Source organism: Homo sapiens, chromosome 16 (assembly GCF_000001405.40).
Source record: "Homo sapiens chromosome 16, GRCh38.p14 Primary Assembly".
In the NCBI taxonomy this organism is placed as follows: Eukaryota; Metazoa; Chordata; class Mammalia; order Primates; family Hominidae; genus Homo; species Homo sapiens.
Window position 1 is genome coordinate 86182393 of NC_000016.10, and position 17913 is coordinate 86200305.

The 17913-nt window shown below is 44.9% G+C and overlaps 2 long non-coding RNA genes across 2 annotated transcripts; one reads left to right on the plus strand and one right to left on the minus strand.

Moving 5' to 3' along the window:
* Nucleotides 1-10271: 10271 nt before the first annotated feature.
* Nucleotides 10272-17124, minus strand: LOC124903743 (uncharacterized). Its single transcript, XR_007065164.1, has 2 exons — nucleotides 16498-17124; nucleotides 10272-14787 (listed from the first exon to the last, which is right to left on the minus strand). It is a non-coding gene; the product is annotated as an uncharacterized LOC124903743 (long non-coding RNA).
* LINC01082 (long intergenic non-protein coding RNA 1082) lies at nucleotides 13789-17328 on the plus strand. Its single transcript, NR_103859.1, has 2 exons — nucleotides 13789-14020; nucleotides 17120-17328. It is a non-coding gene; the product is annotated as a long intergenic non-protein coding RNA 1082 (long non-coding RNA).
* Nucleotides 17329-17913: the final 585 nt, after the last annotated feature.

Here is a 17913-nt window from a genome sequence, read left to right on the forward strand (position 1 = left end):
TGGCCACTCTAAGTCTTACACGTATATATTGTCCCATTTAATCCTTCCCACATATGGTGGGGTCTTATCATGGCCATTTTACACATGGGAAAACCAAGGGCCGGTTCTTAGAACCCTGATCAAAGTGACCTCACCATTGGTTTCTGGAAGAACTGCAGACTAGGGAAGTGCTGTTTCCACGACCGAGCATCTGAAAATGTTATTGCGAGGATTGCTGACAACGTGGACATTCATGGCATTTCTGTCACTCATTCAACAATCTGATTTGATGGTAATCATTATTCATGAGGTCATATAACAAAGTGTTTCGGCTTCAAAATGCATGAAACAAAAACTGATAGAGCTAACAGGAGAAAGAGTAAAATCCATAACTACAGTTGGAGATTCCAATACTCCTATCCCAATAATTGATGGAACAAATAGACAAAAATGATCATGACATACAGAAAACTTGAACAACATTATACACCAGCCGGATTTAACTGACAGTTACAGAACGCGCTGCCCATGTGCACATGAAAAGAACGTGCACATGGCGTGCTGAGCAAGGTAGACCATGTTCTAGGCCACTATGGCCCATGGCCTGTTTTTTATTGTACAGACCATGACCTAAAAGTGATCTCTGTATTTTTAAAGGGTTGCACAAAATACAACAAAACTAAAGAAAGAAGAACATGCAGCAGTGACAACTCTGTGGCTGGTAAAGCCTAAAATATTTGCTCTCTGGCCCTTTCCAGAAAAACCTTCTCTGCCCCTGTTCTAGGTCAGAAAATAAGCCTCAATAAATTAAAAATAATTTTTTAAAATTTTTTAAAAATTTAGAATTTAAATGTAAACTTGACCACATTTAAACTTAAATTTAAATTTAAATCTGACCACAGTGAAATTAAACTAGAAACTATCAACATTAAGGTATATGAAAAAAAATCCCCAAATATCTGGAAATAGACCAATGAAATAGACCAGAGTCCATCAACAGGTGCTTTTTGAGGGATTTATTACACAGTGAAGAAGGCACTCCAATACATCATGAAGAGTATCTAGCATTCAGTAGTGTTGGGACAACTGGAAAAAGCATGAAAGTAAAAAACTGAAGTCTAAAAATGTTAGGAATAAATGTAGAAGAACGTGTTTGCAACTTTGAAGATAGAAAAACTTTCCTTACAACATAAATGCAAAAGTAAAAAAGGAAATAAATGACAAATTGAACTGTGTAAAAAATAATATGATAACACCATAAAATGAAAATTGAGGTAACCAACTGGGAAAAAATACTTGCAAAATATGAAACAGGGAAATGAATAATATCCAAGATAGAGCCCTCTTAAAAATCAGGCATAAAAAGATAGACACACACATAGATGTATAAATAGAAAAATGATCAAAGGATAAGCTTTGGGAGGCTGAGGCAGGAGGATGGCTGAGGCAGGAGAGTTGCTTGAAGCCAGGAGTTAGAGACCAGCCTGGGCAACAAAGTGAGACCTCCGTCTCTACCCCACCCCAAAAAAAAAAAAAATTGGCATGGTGCTGCACACCTGTAGTTCCAGCTACTTGGGAGGCTGAGGTGAGAGGATCCCTTGAGCCCAGGATTTTGAGGCTTCAGTGAGCTATGATGGCACTACTGTACTCCAGTCTCTGAGGCAGAGCAAGACCCAGTCTTTAAAACAAACAAACAAACAAACAAACAAACAAAACAACCCCAAGATATTGTTTTTCTTTTATCAGTAATAATGAAAGAATTGATCATAGCCAGCATTGGGGATAGGATGGAGAGCAGGGTGACTCTCTTGGTGGCCCATAAATTGGCATGTTGTTTTTGGAATCAATTAGACAATACCTATTCTAGTTGAAAACTACTAAACTCTTCACCACAGACATCAATTTTGGTATCCATTTTGGAAAATAAATACCCACATGTGAACAAAGAGGCAGGTCTGAGATATTCACTGGAAACATTTTTATGATAGTATCATGAGTAATGCATGAACATGTGACCACTCCCTGCAGCTCATTTGGATCTCTAGGCATCTTTGCAAACCCCACCGAGCTTGGGTGCTTAAATGCGAATTTGTGACAACTGGAAGTACCGAAATGACTATCAATATAAAAACGGTAAAACAAACGATGATGTTTCTACACTGAGTATTGTGCATTGGTTTAAAAAACGAGGTTGTGAAGTACTGTAGACATGGAAAGGTCTCTAAGACATATTGCTGGGAGAAAAAGTGAGCTTCTGAATAATGTGTTCAATATTATGCCATTTATGTGTAAGAACACAAGGTGGTAAATATTGTATGGATACACACTTATATGTGTGTGGATTCATAGAACACTGTCTTGAGGGATACATAGCAAATTGGCCAGCAGTTTTCTCTTGGTGTAGAGCTTATAGGTGGTTTTCATCATTTCTCTGTGCTTTTGTCTATTTTTCCAGATAGAGATTACTTTTGAAATTTAAAAAAAGTTAAAAATCAGCACGTGAGTGATAATGAGTTTTACAGCGTATTTATCTACTCTATAAGGGAAAGCAGTCTTCCTGCTGTTAAGTCCAGGCAAGTTCAATATGCTTTTCGGTTTTCAAAGCTATGTCCATTTATAATTTTATTTTATCCTTGTAAATCCATCCTGAGCTGAGGGAGCTAATCGGCCTTCGTGTGAGGGTGCCTGAAGATGTTTTAGGCATTTTTATTTTATTCTCAACTCTAATTCGAGCAGGGAAGAGTTGGCCTTTTCACCTAACATCTGATATGTCCCTCTCACACTCCTTAATACTCTGTCTCCCAGGGGTGGCCTCGTGCCAGACCCTCCAGAATCCAAGGCCCCTTGGTGACGCATTCACTCAGGGTGAGAGAAGACCCTCACCAAGGTGACAGGTAAGGGAGCCACATCGCCAGGCCAGCACCCGCCCCACCCCCTGCCATCCTGATCTCTAGGAGTCTTTGTATACCCCACCAAGCTTGGAAGCTTAAATCTTAATTTGTGACAAAGCTTACAGAGACCACACTAAATAGGAAGTCTTCATTTTTCTGAGCATATTGGGGACCTAAGAGGCCGAGGAGAGGAGCATTGGAGGAATTTCTGAAGAGAAGGCAGAGGAGGAAGCAGCGGGCCAGGGAAGGGGGAACAAGTGTCCGGGATGTCACCTTCCTTGTTCAAAGTCTGAGAGAGTGCCTAAGGGAAAACTGCCTTCGAAGGGCAGCATTGTAGGCAAATGCTGCTTTCTTTTCTCAACGCAGCCACCCCAGAGCCCTCGGAATCCTGGTTCTAGTGTTCTGCGGTAGGTTTGTCCAATCCTGGGTCATGAAGCACTGCTGAGTAGGGACATCGATTTAGCCAGGTGTAGCCAAATTATGAAAAGTAAATACACTTAGAAAAATGAAATAGACCAGCACTCTCAAACTGTAATATGCATCATCATGCTGCCAGGAGAGCTTGTTAAAATGCAGGTTGACACCGTGCAGGTCTGCATTGGGGCCCTGGATTCTGCATTTCCAACTCAGGTGACTCTGAAGCCACTGGTCCAGGGACCACACTTTGAGTAGGGAAGGACAAGGGGTTAAGCTGGACCAGACTGGGACAAAATGTTTCAGCATGTAATGCACATCAGATCACATCTAGTTTTTCGAGCATTTACTTCAAATGGGTGTGTGCACATGTGTGCGTACTGTGTTGACATGCGTACTCTTGTAACAGAATGTGGTTCAAAACACTGAACTAGAAGTAGGACTCGAGTCCAAGGAAGACACACTCAGGTGGCTTCTGACTATGCATCATTTTGACTAGATTTTAAACATGAAGACGTCCATCAGGAACATACTTCTTATCTAGTCCCACGTTGCTTCCAATACGAACATTTGAACTTGTGCCATTTCCTGTGGTGAGGGCTTACACAGAGGGGTGAGAAGGGCATATCTATTTTGGATTCTCATTTCAAAACCTCCCAATATCATCGAAATCAACTGGCACAAACAGAGCGCCTGGGAGTTTCTTTCATAGAAATGGCCAAGTTTGTCTATCAATGGAGCACACGCGAGCCGGGCGGAAGAGCACGCCAATGGCCGCTCCATCAACTCTGGCAGTTGTGTACATTACGCCTTTTGATCTCAGAGGATGCTGTATTTAGATGACATAATATGCTTTTGGTTATCTTTCTTGAAGGTAGAAGGGGACGTAAGCAGATATCCACTTTTGCAAGATAAAATTAGCACCTCTTTGCTGGAAGATAAACATTTCGGCAGGAAAGCCCTGATTAAAGTACAAAGCAGCCAGGGGGTATTAGGCTGCGCCCCTTTGAGCGAAATTCCTATTTATAATAAAAGGAAATAACATTGGTATGACATAGGGCAACAAAGAGAAGCCACCTACCACAGCCTCAAAGAAATAGCGTCGTTATTGCAGGCTTTCTGGAAAGTTCCACTGTGATTTGGTTCCACAAAGGCCAACACTGGGGTTTAGGGGAGGAAAGGGGAGAGGGAGGCATTCCGTTGGTCTAGACCCTTTCTGCTCCCACGCTCCAGGGCTGCAGGAACAGTTGTGTGGTTTGCTGACTACGGCAGGGCAGCCTGGCCAGGGCGGGGAGTGGGGGCAGCTCCGAAGTTATTCACCCCAATGGAGAGCCCAGTCTGCCTGCAGAGGGACACTGTTTTGATCATTCTGGCAAAGGCACCTGGTGGGTTCACCAAGGCAGTCCTTCTATTCCTCTAACATACCTCTGCCCACTCCCATTTTTGTGCTGTGTCCACAGAGACCCGTGTTCCCCAGAATGATGTTCCCTCTCAGTAGCCACTCATGGAACGGTGGATAGGAAAATCCCTGGTCTCACTTGCAGCTGGGAAGACAGTCTAGCAGTGCACGTTGTTCCAGACTCTTCATCTTTCTCCACTGGATGGCCGTCTTTCAAAATGAGAGCACGCTAGCACCAGGAAGCTGCCTAAACTGTGTTTGCTGAAACTTGCAGAAATTCCCAGCAGCTTTGTAGCTCCTCACTTCTTCCTTTCTGCAGGAGGCATGTAAGGAAGTCCAGTTATTCATTCAACAGATATTTATGGCTGTTTGTTATGTACCAGCCACTGCCAATGCTGAAGGTCCATGGTGGTGAGGCAGTGGGGAGCCCTGTCCTCACCGCCTGGCAGATGGCAGGCCAGGTGTGGTGAGGGCCATGGGAAGGGGATTTCACAACACAACAATCCTCGAGACTCTGGGGTTCGGCCTCTGCATACATCCAAGGGATGAATCAGAGGCATCCAGATAATGAGGGGAGACCGATGGAGAGGAACCTGCATGTGCAGTGTCTCAGAGGCAGGTGGATTGAGGGTAGATCTGCTTGGCTGGGCTCCACAGATGGGAGAAGGCTGGCGTGGGAGCCAGGACCCAGCGTTCAGAGCCCTGTAAAACACACGGGTATCACACATCCCAGTTTGCCTGTTGCACGTCCCAAGTTTGTGACTGTTGTTCCACTGTGATTATTGGCAACATCCCCCTTGACTCTCAAAAGTGTCCAGGTTGGAGCAACGAACCATACAGACACTCTAGAAGGATTTAATAAGCAAGAAGATGACATATTTGTGCTTGCTGATGAAAGAGCACTCAGGCTGCCCTGCAAGAATGGCTCAGAGTCAGGGAGGGCGGATGGGGAAAAAATGGCCATTGACCAGGGTAATGGCTTTGAGGGAAAAGAAATAATCAGAGCTTTGGGAGGTTCCTAGACACTGGCTCTGAACTGATACTAATTCTAGGAGACCTAAAAAGTCACTGGGATTACCAATATGACCAGGGGCTTATGGAAGCCAACTGAACTGTGGAGTTCTAGCTTAGGTCTCTCCTAACGTGGGCCCGGCGGGTCCCTGAACCTGTCCTCTGGTTATTTCCCCAGTGCTAGGGTGCGTCACTGGAATAGACATATCCATTTCGCTGGCAGATGATGGGGAGAGAAAAGCGGTTTGTCGGGCAATTTCTGGTTACAGTTGATTACAGCGATTCTGATTCCAGGCTGCTCTTCATTTATGCACAGTCCTGGGTTACCTGAGAGTAAGGACTGTCCAGAAGGGGCTGCCTCCCATTTTCAGAATCCCCTTCAGGTCTGGGCTCACTGGTGGACCTGCACAGGCTTTGTGTTAACCATTTGTTTCTCCTATTTGGGAGCTCCCGCAGCACCCAGCTAGAAGGGGCTCCAAAATTATAAAGATGCATGGGTTATAAAGATGCGTGGATTATAAAGATGCATGGGTTATAAAGATGCGTGGATTATAAAGATGCATGGGTTGTAAAGATGCATGGATTATAAAGATGCATGGGTTATAAAGATGCATGGATTATAAAGATGCATGAGTTGTAAAGATGCATGGATTATAATGAAGCCTGAACTCGTTGACATCTTCCATAACAGTGAAGGCCGACATGGCCTAGAGCTCATGCTGCTATTTTGTGGTTTGCACCTCTGAAGAGGGCAAGGACTTGGCCTGAGCCCACACTTCCTGCTTTAGAGGGCCCTCCCCACCCTGCGTTCAGGTCCCCAAAGCTCCTCATCCATCCTGGTTTTGCAGCCGTTTATACCTTGATGTGAATATCTGTTCTAGCATTTTCATTCCTCTTGGGGGAAGATGCATTTTTAGGGATCACATTTTGTGGTGAAACGTTTCAGTGAGACAGGCAGAGACAAGAGACACTTTTGGAGTGTGCCTGTGATAACGTGGATTTCCCTTGCTGTCCTTCTCTGAGGATCACTGAGCCCTTGGCCGTCAGTTCTCCAGGCTGCCCGGGGCTGCGGTGGCTGCACCTGCTCTTCTAGGGAGGATCCCAGGGACTTACCTCCCTATATCTGACATCCCCTCCTTGACTCTGAGTCTCTTTTGATGACAGACAAGTTCAGTGAAACCAATTCCCTGTTCAGCCTTCCTGTTATCACCTGTGTGGCTCTTCCAACTGCAGCCTCTATTTAGCTAATCTGGAAAAACAGTCCCTCCATCCCCACCCCATGTTCCCTCTTCCAAATGAAAATATTTTTTTTTCATTTTTGAGAAATAGATTTGATATTTGATACATCAAAGAGAGGAGGAAAAGTTTCCATGTAATTTCTACTTTACAGTCAGGAGAGATTTTATTTTTAATCACATCTTTGTAAGCCTTATGTAGGGGCTTGGCATAATCCATCTGGGGCTACTTCAAGGATTCTTTTTGCTTAAAACCTCCAAGATCTTCCCTCCTTAGAGCGAATATTCCCTGCAGGATTTTAAGTGTCACCTGATCCACTTCAGCACTTAATCCAGCCCATAGCAGATTCAGACAAGCACTGAAAAGATAGTAGTGTGCCCCCATGCTCTGAGAAATTCAACAGAAATGCAATACTAAACCTCCAAAAATGTAAGAAAAGCCAGCAAAGAGCAGAGGATCATAATTGCATTTTGCAGTCATCGTATTTCATGTGTTGATTTGCTTTATTGGTTCATCTTCTGTTACTTACTCCTTCTTTTAATTGTTTTCTGTTTTGATGCCTTTTCAGTCATCTTCTTTGTAAGATACAGTAGTCCCCCTTTGTCCTCGAGGGAGATGTTCTAGACCCCCAGTGGATGGTTGCAACTGTGGATGGTATGGAACCCTGTGTATACTAGGGTTTTCCTGTACGGACCCATGATAAAGTTTAATTTATAACTGAGGCACAATACGAGAGTAAGAACAGTGAATAATAATAAAATAGAACAGTAACAATATACTGCAATAAAAGTTAAGTGACTGAATTCCTCTCTCTCCCTCTCTCTCCCTCTCTCTCCCTCTCTCTCCCTCTCCCTCTCTCTCCCTCTCTCTCCCTCTCTCTCCCTCTCTCTCCCTCTCTCTCCCTCTCTCTCCCTCTCTCTCCCTCTCTCTCTCTCTAAATGTCTTATTGTACTGTGCTCACCTATTTTCAGACCCCCATTGACCGAGGGTAACTGAAACCTCGGAAAGCAAAACTGCAGATAGGCGGGGACTACTGTAGATTTATCTTTCTTGGCTTTTAATTTTTTTCTTTCTTTTAATTTTTACTTAATTATAAGTTGCAATTAAAATGCATCTTACATACAGGAATAGGGTACAGAGTACACAAACCTTAAATGTATAGCTTGAAGACTGTCACATATGTGGACACCCAGAGGGTCCTCCCTGCAAATCCTGCACCCACCTCAGAATACTATCCCAGAGATGGCCACACTTCCAATTTCGACTCTCAGTGTATTTGGAAAAACACCAGATTCCTAAATCGTGTTCTTGACGTGGATGCCCTGACCTGCTGGTATCAGTTAACTCTGTCCTCTGGACAATCTGCCACGGTCTGAAGCCTTCCTGTGACCTTCCAGGATCCCAGACAGCGGGGCTCCCTTGAACGCACCCCATTTTCCAGCCTTCCCAGACCGGCTTCTGTCTTTTGGGATAAATTCAAGGTGTCACTTAGTCCTCTCTCAGTCTCTTCTTCAGCAGCCTTGGCGCTCACCACTGCTGAGGCAGAACTTCAATGCCAGGCCCCTGCTTAACTGTTATTGGCCAAACAGTACAATATGATTGATAGGGACCTCAGTATGGTAGGGACCTCAAGATTGGGACCTCTACCCGTCCATGTCAATCTTGAATTATAACTGGAGTCCGGCTGGGCATGGTGGCTCACACCTGTAATCCCAGCACTTTGGGAAGCTGAGGTGGGAGGATTGCTTGAGGCCAGGAGGAAAGAGCCAGGTGTGGTGGGACATGCCTGTGGTCCCAGCTACTTGGGAGGCTGAGGTGGGAGGATTGCTTGAGCTCAGGAGTTCAAGGCTGCAATGAGCTATGATCATCACGCCACTGGGTGGAGAGTCTGGATGACAGAGTGAGACTCTGTTTGAAAAGGAAAAAAGAAAAAACAAAAAAAAGAGAAGCCTGAAGGTGAGAATCTGAAGATGGACTTCCTAACTCCCTAACTCCACTACAGTCGAGACTTTGGATAAGTCTCTTACTCCCTGCAAACTTCACATCAGTGATGGCAAATTCACAGTGTTTGCCACCGCCTTCCTCCTGGCAGACATCACTAGTCCCTCCTTCAGCTCCCTCCTGCCCAGGCTCGACAAAACATCTAAATCACCGGTTTTCAGCCTCAGCTGCACATTAGGATCACATGGGAGCTTTGAAGAAATCCCGGTACCGGGGTCCCACTCCCACATATTCTGATTCAGTTAGCTGGGGGTGCAACCCACCTAGGAGGTTTTTAAACACCACCCCCCACCCCCTACTCGGTGATTCTAAAGTATAGTAAAAGTTAAGATCTGTTGCTCCAAATCCTTCTCAAACAAGGCTTCAGGAAGCCACTACCACAAACAGACGAAATCCGTGTCCTTTCTGTTCTAAGCCCCGGCTACCCTGTGTGGTTCCAGGACCAGTGACTCTGGCCTCCCTTGTGCTAGTCACTGATGAGACCCTCAGCCCCATCCAGACTCGCTGAATCTGAACCTGCCCTTTAGTCAGATCCGCAGGGGTTCCGAGCACGCCGCTGGGCTGGAGGCATTCCGAGGCCCCTCGCAGCCCTCAGTCTGTGATTTCGGCTCCACGAGCTCCCTCCACTGCGAATGCATAGGGGTTTTAAGAGATGATGCGGATCAGGGACTGGCTGTTTTTATATTAATATGGCCATTTGTGTGTTTCCCTTTATTTTTTTAAAGTTTGCTGTTAATTAATTAGCAGACATGTTTTCTCTGTATTATCTGTAAACAATTCTCTTAATTCTAATCTTATCCATAAAGCTATTCTCCCCAAAGAACTTGTGACAATTAAAAAAAATCTTCATGAACTCCACTTCCCAGTAAAAGTTCATGCAGATTCAAGTCAGAGGCAAAGACCCATCCGTGGGGTCATTTCCACTGAACTGCGACCTATAGGGGGCTGCCTGAGTGTAGGTTCTTTATGTCCGCGAGGGGAGGCTCCGTAATAAGTGACACTGAGCTCTATCAAGGATCATCCGATGTGGATAGCCTTCGACTCTCATCACTACTGGGAATCTGTCCCAATGAAATAACCCAAAATATGGTAAAAAGCTCTACAGGGGAAATATTTCTGTAACAGAGATCAATTTAACAACGCGAATGCCCAAAAATAGGAAGGAAGATGGTTTTGTGTTAGAATATTGTTCAGCACTTTAAAATACTCATGTAAAACTGCATCGAGGTTCCAACTACGTGTATATGGAAAGAAATTCACAGAAAAAGTTGAGGAAGAAAAAACATAAGACATTAATAAAAGATGTATCACAGAAAAGAACTCAACCACAATCCTGCCACTCTATTTTTCAAGTTTTTTATATTTGCAAAACGTTAATATTTTAATTATGAATGTATAGATACTTTAAATGTAAGAATAGCCTAATGCCACTGGGAACGGCATGTTTGTTTATATTACAGTGATTTTTCAGTGATTGAAGATTTTATTTAGTAATTAAAGGAAGAAAGTAGGAAGAAAACCTATGGACAATACTGTTTCCTGATGGCAGAATTTCCTCCGTATATCACCCTGCCAAATCACTGCGTCTGTGGTTTATTTTTTTCTAGCTTTTCTTATTATGGGGCGGCCACCCCATTTTTAAGAGTTATTGCTCTCCACACAATCAAGTATTTTCCTTTTGTTGCCTGAGTTAAATAGCGATCTGATAATCTGTAATTTATTGAGAATTGCAAGCCAGCACTTTGCCCATGTCTGCCCATGCTTTTGAGGACAGGGAAACTAGATCCAGAGAGGGCAAGCTACTTGCCTGAGCAAACATAGCTCGCAGGGGGCAGACACAGGATTTGAACCAGCTCTCAAGCCCCCAGCTGTGCTGCCCAGCCTCCGTGGCAGGGCAGGCGGCCGGCTGTCGGGAGGGCCTCGAGACCTTGAGTGGAGTGGCTTCCGGGCTGTTTATTGTTCCTGTGGCTCATGGTACAACCATCAACTTGATGTTTGAAGGGTGAGGGTGGGGGCACTTTGAAAGAGTGGAGGAAAGCATCCAGAGGGGTCTGCCTTTTAACAGACGCGATAGAAACCAGAGGGCAGCCAGGGTGGCTGAAAGGGTGGTGGGTGGCCAGCAAGCCAGCCAGGTGTTCGGTGCCACCCTCAGATGACATTGTATATAGGACACAGACTCAGCAGTGAGGCCTGGAGCTGTCTGTGGGAGAGCTGGTGGACCTGGCAATGCGTCCCCTTCCTGCGGGCATCTGCGGATCCTCTTCTGCTGGCTGGGGACAGGTCAGCTGGGCTGAGTCCTGGCTGCTGGGGACCGCACGATACTGCCCTCAGCCACCTCGCCATCCAGGCATTTGAGAACATGGACAGAGTTCTCAGATGGATTCCTGGAGCAAACGTTGCAGTCATGACCTGGTCAGTGAGAGGAATGAGCTTTGGGCAGGTGGGCAGCCAGCCCAGACCGCATGCACAGCACTCATGTTTGCCGGGCACGTCCAGCACTTTTCAGGGCCTATTTTATGCAATCCCAATAAAAAACCCATGAGGTAGGGACCATTGCTCTCCCCGGTTTATAGAAGAGCAAACTAAGGCTCAGAATGGTTCATTCACCCAGTTGGCAGTCTGGGGTGTGATCCCGGGCAGTGTGACCTGGGCTCTCGCTGCTGATGTTTATCTCCTGTTTTTCCAGCTCTGCCAGTGGACAGCCTGGCTTGAGCTCCTGACTCTGACACTTTGTCACTCTCCAGCAGCCTGGTCTTCAGCGATGGGCTGGCCTCTGTCTGCCTCAGTTTCCTCATCTACAAAGTGAAGCTAATAATAGTCCCTCCTCCTGGGTTGTTGTGGGGGTCAAATGAGTCTTTCCACGTATGATGGTATAACAGGAGTAGAAAACTCCTGGCATCTGGTAATAACTCCGTAAAGGTGGTTATTCATACAATTATTATTATTTACCTTCGAGCCTCATCTGTTATGTTCTCCCCTTGTGAAACTGAATCTTCCTTTCCTTCCATCTCCTCTGATGTGAAATGTAGATAATGACAGTCAGCATCAATGTCACTGAGTGGATGGGACACAGCACACAGAAAGCCATTGTTTCAAATCTAAGTCTCTGCAGAAACCTCTGGAGCAGCGCATTTTTATTCTAAATATTCATGCTGTCTCTAGATGCACTTCCTGGTCCTTATCTGGAGCATGATTCTCTCTGACAATAATCATGTAGCCAACATATTTAAAATTCAGCGTATTAGACAGCCTGGCAGTTGACACAACGAGGGATCTTTTTGTAAGTGCTGGTATTTAGTGGTGACACTGGGTGGAAATACTAAGAGAAGCTTAGCGGTTCTCTTGTTATAAAAGAAAAGGAAATTGCCTTCCGTTTAGGCTGAAGCAATTTTCGGACCGTGGGAAGGGGGCAGCTCAGTAGTGAGTTCTTTTTCAGATCATATTGGCTTAGGAGCTGTTACATCCAAGTTGTGACTTCAGAACAAAAGAAATTGAACTTGCGTTTTGCCAAGTTTAAGTTGGTGTCGCCTGGTTCCAACAGGTCCCAAGGAGAAGTGGTATTTGCATTTGGCCCCCGTGACCTCTGTGTTCCCCAACGGGGGCTGTGGTCCACAGTGGGAGGCTCAGGGGCTGGGGCAGGAGCAGAGAACATCCAGATGACCGTGCGTGCCGCCGTCCACTGGGCTTTCTCATTAACCCGTGGTCACACCGTCCAATTCGTCAAAGAAACCTGAAGCAAGGGGACGGACGGAACCGGCACATGCATGGGTGCAGGCGAATCCCTGGCTTTGCTAATTGGGGTTCTCTTCCCATCTCAGTTAGGTTCTGCCGTCTGAGCAGAAAAGCTAAGAGGGAAGCTGGGATTTTCCAGCCAAGCCTGCCTCACAGGCCCACGTGTGGTCACTCCTAAGCGTCTGGTGTAAACAAGAGTCATTGTCTATTTGGTGGTGGGATTCCTTCTCAGAAAGCTTGCTGTGGTGTCACTAGGGAAGCTGGAGGGAATTTAAGCCCCTCCAAAATCGAGCTGCAGATGTTGTCTTGAACTGGGCGCTGCTGTTCCTTTGCTGGGAAAGGTTTTCTTCCTTGAGCGGCTGATCTCTTCCTTCATCAGAATTACCAAGGTTCTGGTCAGCCAGGTCCTCTCCAAAACCACAGCCATTTTCAGGAGACAAAAGCAGCCTCGGTTTATAAGGCACCACTGAATGGCTTCATGGCATGCTTGGGAATTACAAATGTCAAATCAAACAACATGAAATTGTGCCCTTCTTTTGTGTGCGTTCATTAGAAGGACTTGGAAAACCAAATCATGATGTATCGGTATTTGTTTTTTATACAGAAACAATATTGAAAAAAAGGCCCCTCGATGAATTCGTAAATTAAGGCAAGGAGATGCTTACTTGAAATGTTGAAAGCCCCCACAGATCTAATACTCCAAACCAAAAATTATATGCAGCACTGATAGCAGATGTTTTCGTCCTATCTAAATATGAAAAAGTATTATATGTTATGTTGACATTTAGGCTAAATCTTTCCCTTATAAGGTGTTTGACATAAATAGCTTTTGTTATGTAACTCTTCAATAGAAGGCATACACACACATTTCTTAAAGGTCCCAGCTGCTATTGTTATCACTGGAGGCATAAAATTGGAATCCTAACTTCCAATATCAAATTTGAGCACAAACCCTATAAAATGTATCTTGTCAGAATGTGCCAGAACCGCTAAGCTCTTTTCGGCGGAACAAATTGCAGCTGGTGTCCTTAAAGGTCGAGAATCAAACTTGCTGTATCCTCAGGGTTTAGGCAGCAAATTGGTCCCAGTTTTCACCCTGCCGCAGGGCTGGCTGGGGAGGGCAGCGGTTTAGATTAGCCGTGGCCTAGGCCGTTTGACGGGGTGACACGAGCCTGCAGGGCCGAGTCCAAGGCCCGGAGATAGGACCAACCGTCAGGAATGCGAGGAATGTTTTTCTTCGGACTCTATCGAGGCACACAGACAGACCATGGGGATTCTGTCTACAGTGACAGCCTTAACATTTGCCAGAGCCCTGGACGGCTGCAGAAATGGCATTGCCCACCCTGCAAGTGAGAAGGTAACGTTTATTTTTGTATTTTTTTCTCTGTCTCCCATATACAGACTGTAGAAAGACCACCAAGAGCGGACCATTTTTTTTTTTTCCCACCATGATGTACAATTCACATTTGTTAATAAAAAAAAAGTGCCCGAGGTCATCCACCTAGACTTTTTTTTTCTTAAACAGGAAACGGGTTTCAGATGTTTATATGTTGAAAAGTAAGGCTACTAATCCGTTTAGCCATTTCACAGGCCCTGGCTCACTCTCTCGTACCTTTTCATGTTCAGACCCCATAGAACGACATTAATTTTTATCCCTCTTGTTATTTAGAATTAAAAAAAAAAGACAAAAACAGAAAAACACTTTCAATAGCCACCTGCTTTTTTGGGACAGCTCCAGTGGAGGTTAAAATAAATGAATCCGCTGGTTTCATTCAATTGTGCTCTTAGCTGCGAGGGTGCTGTGCGGTGGGTTTGAGTGTTCAACACTCTTCAGCAATTCCTTAAAATAGAGCGTGGTCTCGTGTATTTTCGTGTGTCTGTATCCACAAGCGGATCTCCGTTGAAGCAACATATTTAGATGAACACTTAAGGTTCACAAACGCACATACTTATTCCGTCTATAGCAAGGGTGGGAATTGGTCTCTTCCGTACTTTTCTTTCATTTTTCTGGGGGGTCAGTGTGATGTTTTCCACGTTTCTTCTTGATGTTCGGCTGTGCCAGGTAACAGAGAAAAGGCATTTCCCAGGGAGCCGATGATCGCTTGAAAGGGCTTCAACTTGATGCTTGGAAATAAAAAATTTTGTTTTATTTCTGCCATTTTTTTCCTCATCCCAGGACCAGTAATTTTAAACAGTTGTCACTGGTGCAAACGTTTCCCTGTTTAGTGTGGCAAATCAATGCATTTTTACCCTGTTGGGGAGGTTTACATATTCATAGTCCAGGGAGAAAAGAGCACAACAAACGGGAATTGTGGATGCTTTTTAAGTGAATTTGTTAGTATTCAAATCATTGGCGTAAAAGACTATTTTAAACATAGAGTTCAAAGCAGAAGGAATAATATTATTTCCTAAAACTGGATCAAATGGTTCCCCCTTTTTAACCCACCTCTGCTTGACCAAACGCTTTATGTTTACCGATCTTGCAAGGGTGCAAAAGAACTATTCTTGAAGAATTTCGTCAGGGAGAGAAAACCAGCTAAGTTGAAAGGAGCTCTTAAAATTTCAGCATCAGTATTTTCAGGATCAGTAAAAAAGTTACTTTCAGGATCATTAAAAAGTTATTTGCGAAAATTAAACATAGACAAAGAATCATCTTTTACTTCACTATAAGAATCCTCCCCTCACCCTCGTGTGTGTGTGTGTGTGTGTGTGTGTGTGTAGAGAGAGAGTTCTATGAGGCACAAGATACATTTTCTTGCTTTTTCATCAGAGTACCAGAAGCGGCTGGAGAAAAGATTAGTACAAGTGTAAAAATGGATATGTTAATAAATGTCCAAACTCCTTTAAATGGAGGTGAGATGGATATGATAAAACAAATTTTAAAATATATGTTTTTGTTTTGTTTTTTTAATCAAACAAAAAGGCCATTTTTAGTGTATAGGGGCATGTTTTAATTCGGCATTCAAATTATGCCAGGCATAGGTGTCAGGGACTCCCCGTGGAAACCCAGTGACAAAACAATAACACCATCACCTGCGTTGAAATGTGAGCAAAAATAATAGAGTGGTTATCTCGAGAAAGCGGCTCCTGAAAAATGTCTCCCTTAACATGGAAGCACCCGGCAGAGGCTGATCTGTGGGGCTGGGGAGAAATGGAGCAATCGCCAACACTCCAGGCTCGTCTGTGAACCCCAAATTCCATTAAGAAAAGAAACTGCTTAGCAAGACCCTTTTGAAAGCCCCGGGGTGCTAAAGGAGCAGAAGGAAAGCCCGGCTTAGCATCCACACGGCCACCAAAGCTCGGAGGGCAGAGACTGCCGGGAGGAACTGATCTGATGAGAGGATCCATGAGAGAGCAGGGCAACTGCACTAAGTGCCCATTTCTCCAACACGGACAGGGCACCGGGGAGCTTGGCTAACATGGTCACTCAGCCTTCCTTTGTGGAATCACAGGACAGGAGCCTGCTTTGGGCCAGCATTTACAAAAACTGTCTTTTTTGGCCCCTGGACCCTGATGAATAGAAAAACGCTGCAGTCTGCAAACCCACTGCAATCGCCGCGTCAGCTCAGAGCCGAGATGCTTCCCAAATGAACACCTGGATGGTGTAAATCACCCTGACAGTAAACACTTCAGGCCAGGACGCAGGCTGCAGGCGGGGTGGGGTGGCATCCTCCCACCCAGCTGGGGTCCATAAACCAGGCACTGGCCCTGCGCTAATAAATGCTCCTTTCACAGCAAAAGACCCCTCCTCCCGGGCTGGGATCACGGTCCCGGTAGAGAGGGTGCTCAGATAACCGACAGCGTTTCTCCCACCCTCATCACTGTCCGACTTACCCCGGGCTGGCATCAGGGAGTGTTGTCAGGCGTTTATGCCGTTATGAATGGCTTTATGATACCTCGAGAGGGGGACCAGGGCCACCGGCTTCATGGTGGCTATTTTCTGAAGGTGGCAGGAGAAGATAAAACCAAAATTCAGGGTTTGCTTTTTAAATACCATGCTAGTAAAATCAGAACAGTAATGACGGGAACCAAAAGATCTATCTGAAATGTTCCTAAGGTTAGTGGAATCTACAGTGGCATTCCCTCTTGTAAAACACATTGAACTCAAATGTTAAAATAACTCTCCCTCTTCTTGCTGCTGTCTCAAAATCCTTGACTGCTAATGGATGACCACCCATTTGGTGTATACAATTCTTATAAAAATCCCCAAATAGGGGAAAAGCAGAGGGTAGATAGCAGAATAGATCTAGAAAAAGAACACCTCCTTGGGAATTTCTTTGCATTCAGATGCTCTACTTTAAAAAATAAAATGTCTCCGTATAATTATCCAGTTAGGAGGAGTCTTTTAAATGATATCTTTTGTCTTCAGCCAGACAGATGTGAGGACGCACAATGTAAACGTTATGCAGCAGCTTTGGGAGAGGCTTTTTATGGCTCTGTTTCTTTCCACTCACAGCACAGACTCGAGAAATGTAGGGAACTCGAGAGCAGCCACTCGGCCCCAGGATCAACCCAGCACCGAAGAAAAACAACCAGAAGAAATTATTCTTCAGCCTGAAATGAAGCCGGGATCAAATGGTTGCTGATCAGAGCCCATATTTAAATTGGAAAAGTCAAATTGAGCATTATTAAATAAAGCTTGTTTAATATGTCTCAAACAGAAAATGTCTTTTGAAGAGCATTTTAAACCTGATATTAAAATCTGGCCGAGCGCATGTCCCGGGGCGTAATTGGTGGGCACAGGAATTTGGGTCCTTTGCAAGAAGTGTGGTATTCTCCCTTCACAAGGTATTTCTTCCCCAATGTATAAAATGAAAGCAGAAAGGTTTTTAGGTAGCTATTTAAAACTGTTCATGCAACATAATAAATATAAGACAATTGACCCGTGTTTTAATGTTTATCCGTAAGACGAAGTGCAGCCCGGCTGGTGCAGTGACGCAGGCGGCTTGCTGGAGCCGAGAACACCCACGTGTGGGGTGATGTTTTCCCACCACGGTGCAGCGGGTTAGCAGCTGACCCGCGCTCCCACCAAACCTAAAACCACTCTCTAATGGGCTTTACGGTATTTACATTTTGAATTTTATTTATAGGACACCAGATGTCTGTGTTCACAAGAAAAAAAAAAATCATTTGGAATATAAAATCCCTCCCCTTCCCCGCATTCGTTAGCTGAGGAGATATTTGCCTTCCCCCCTGCAATGCGGCAGTGGCTCGCAAGCCAGTTCTGAGCTGGGGTTTATGGTCTCTTTG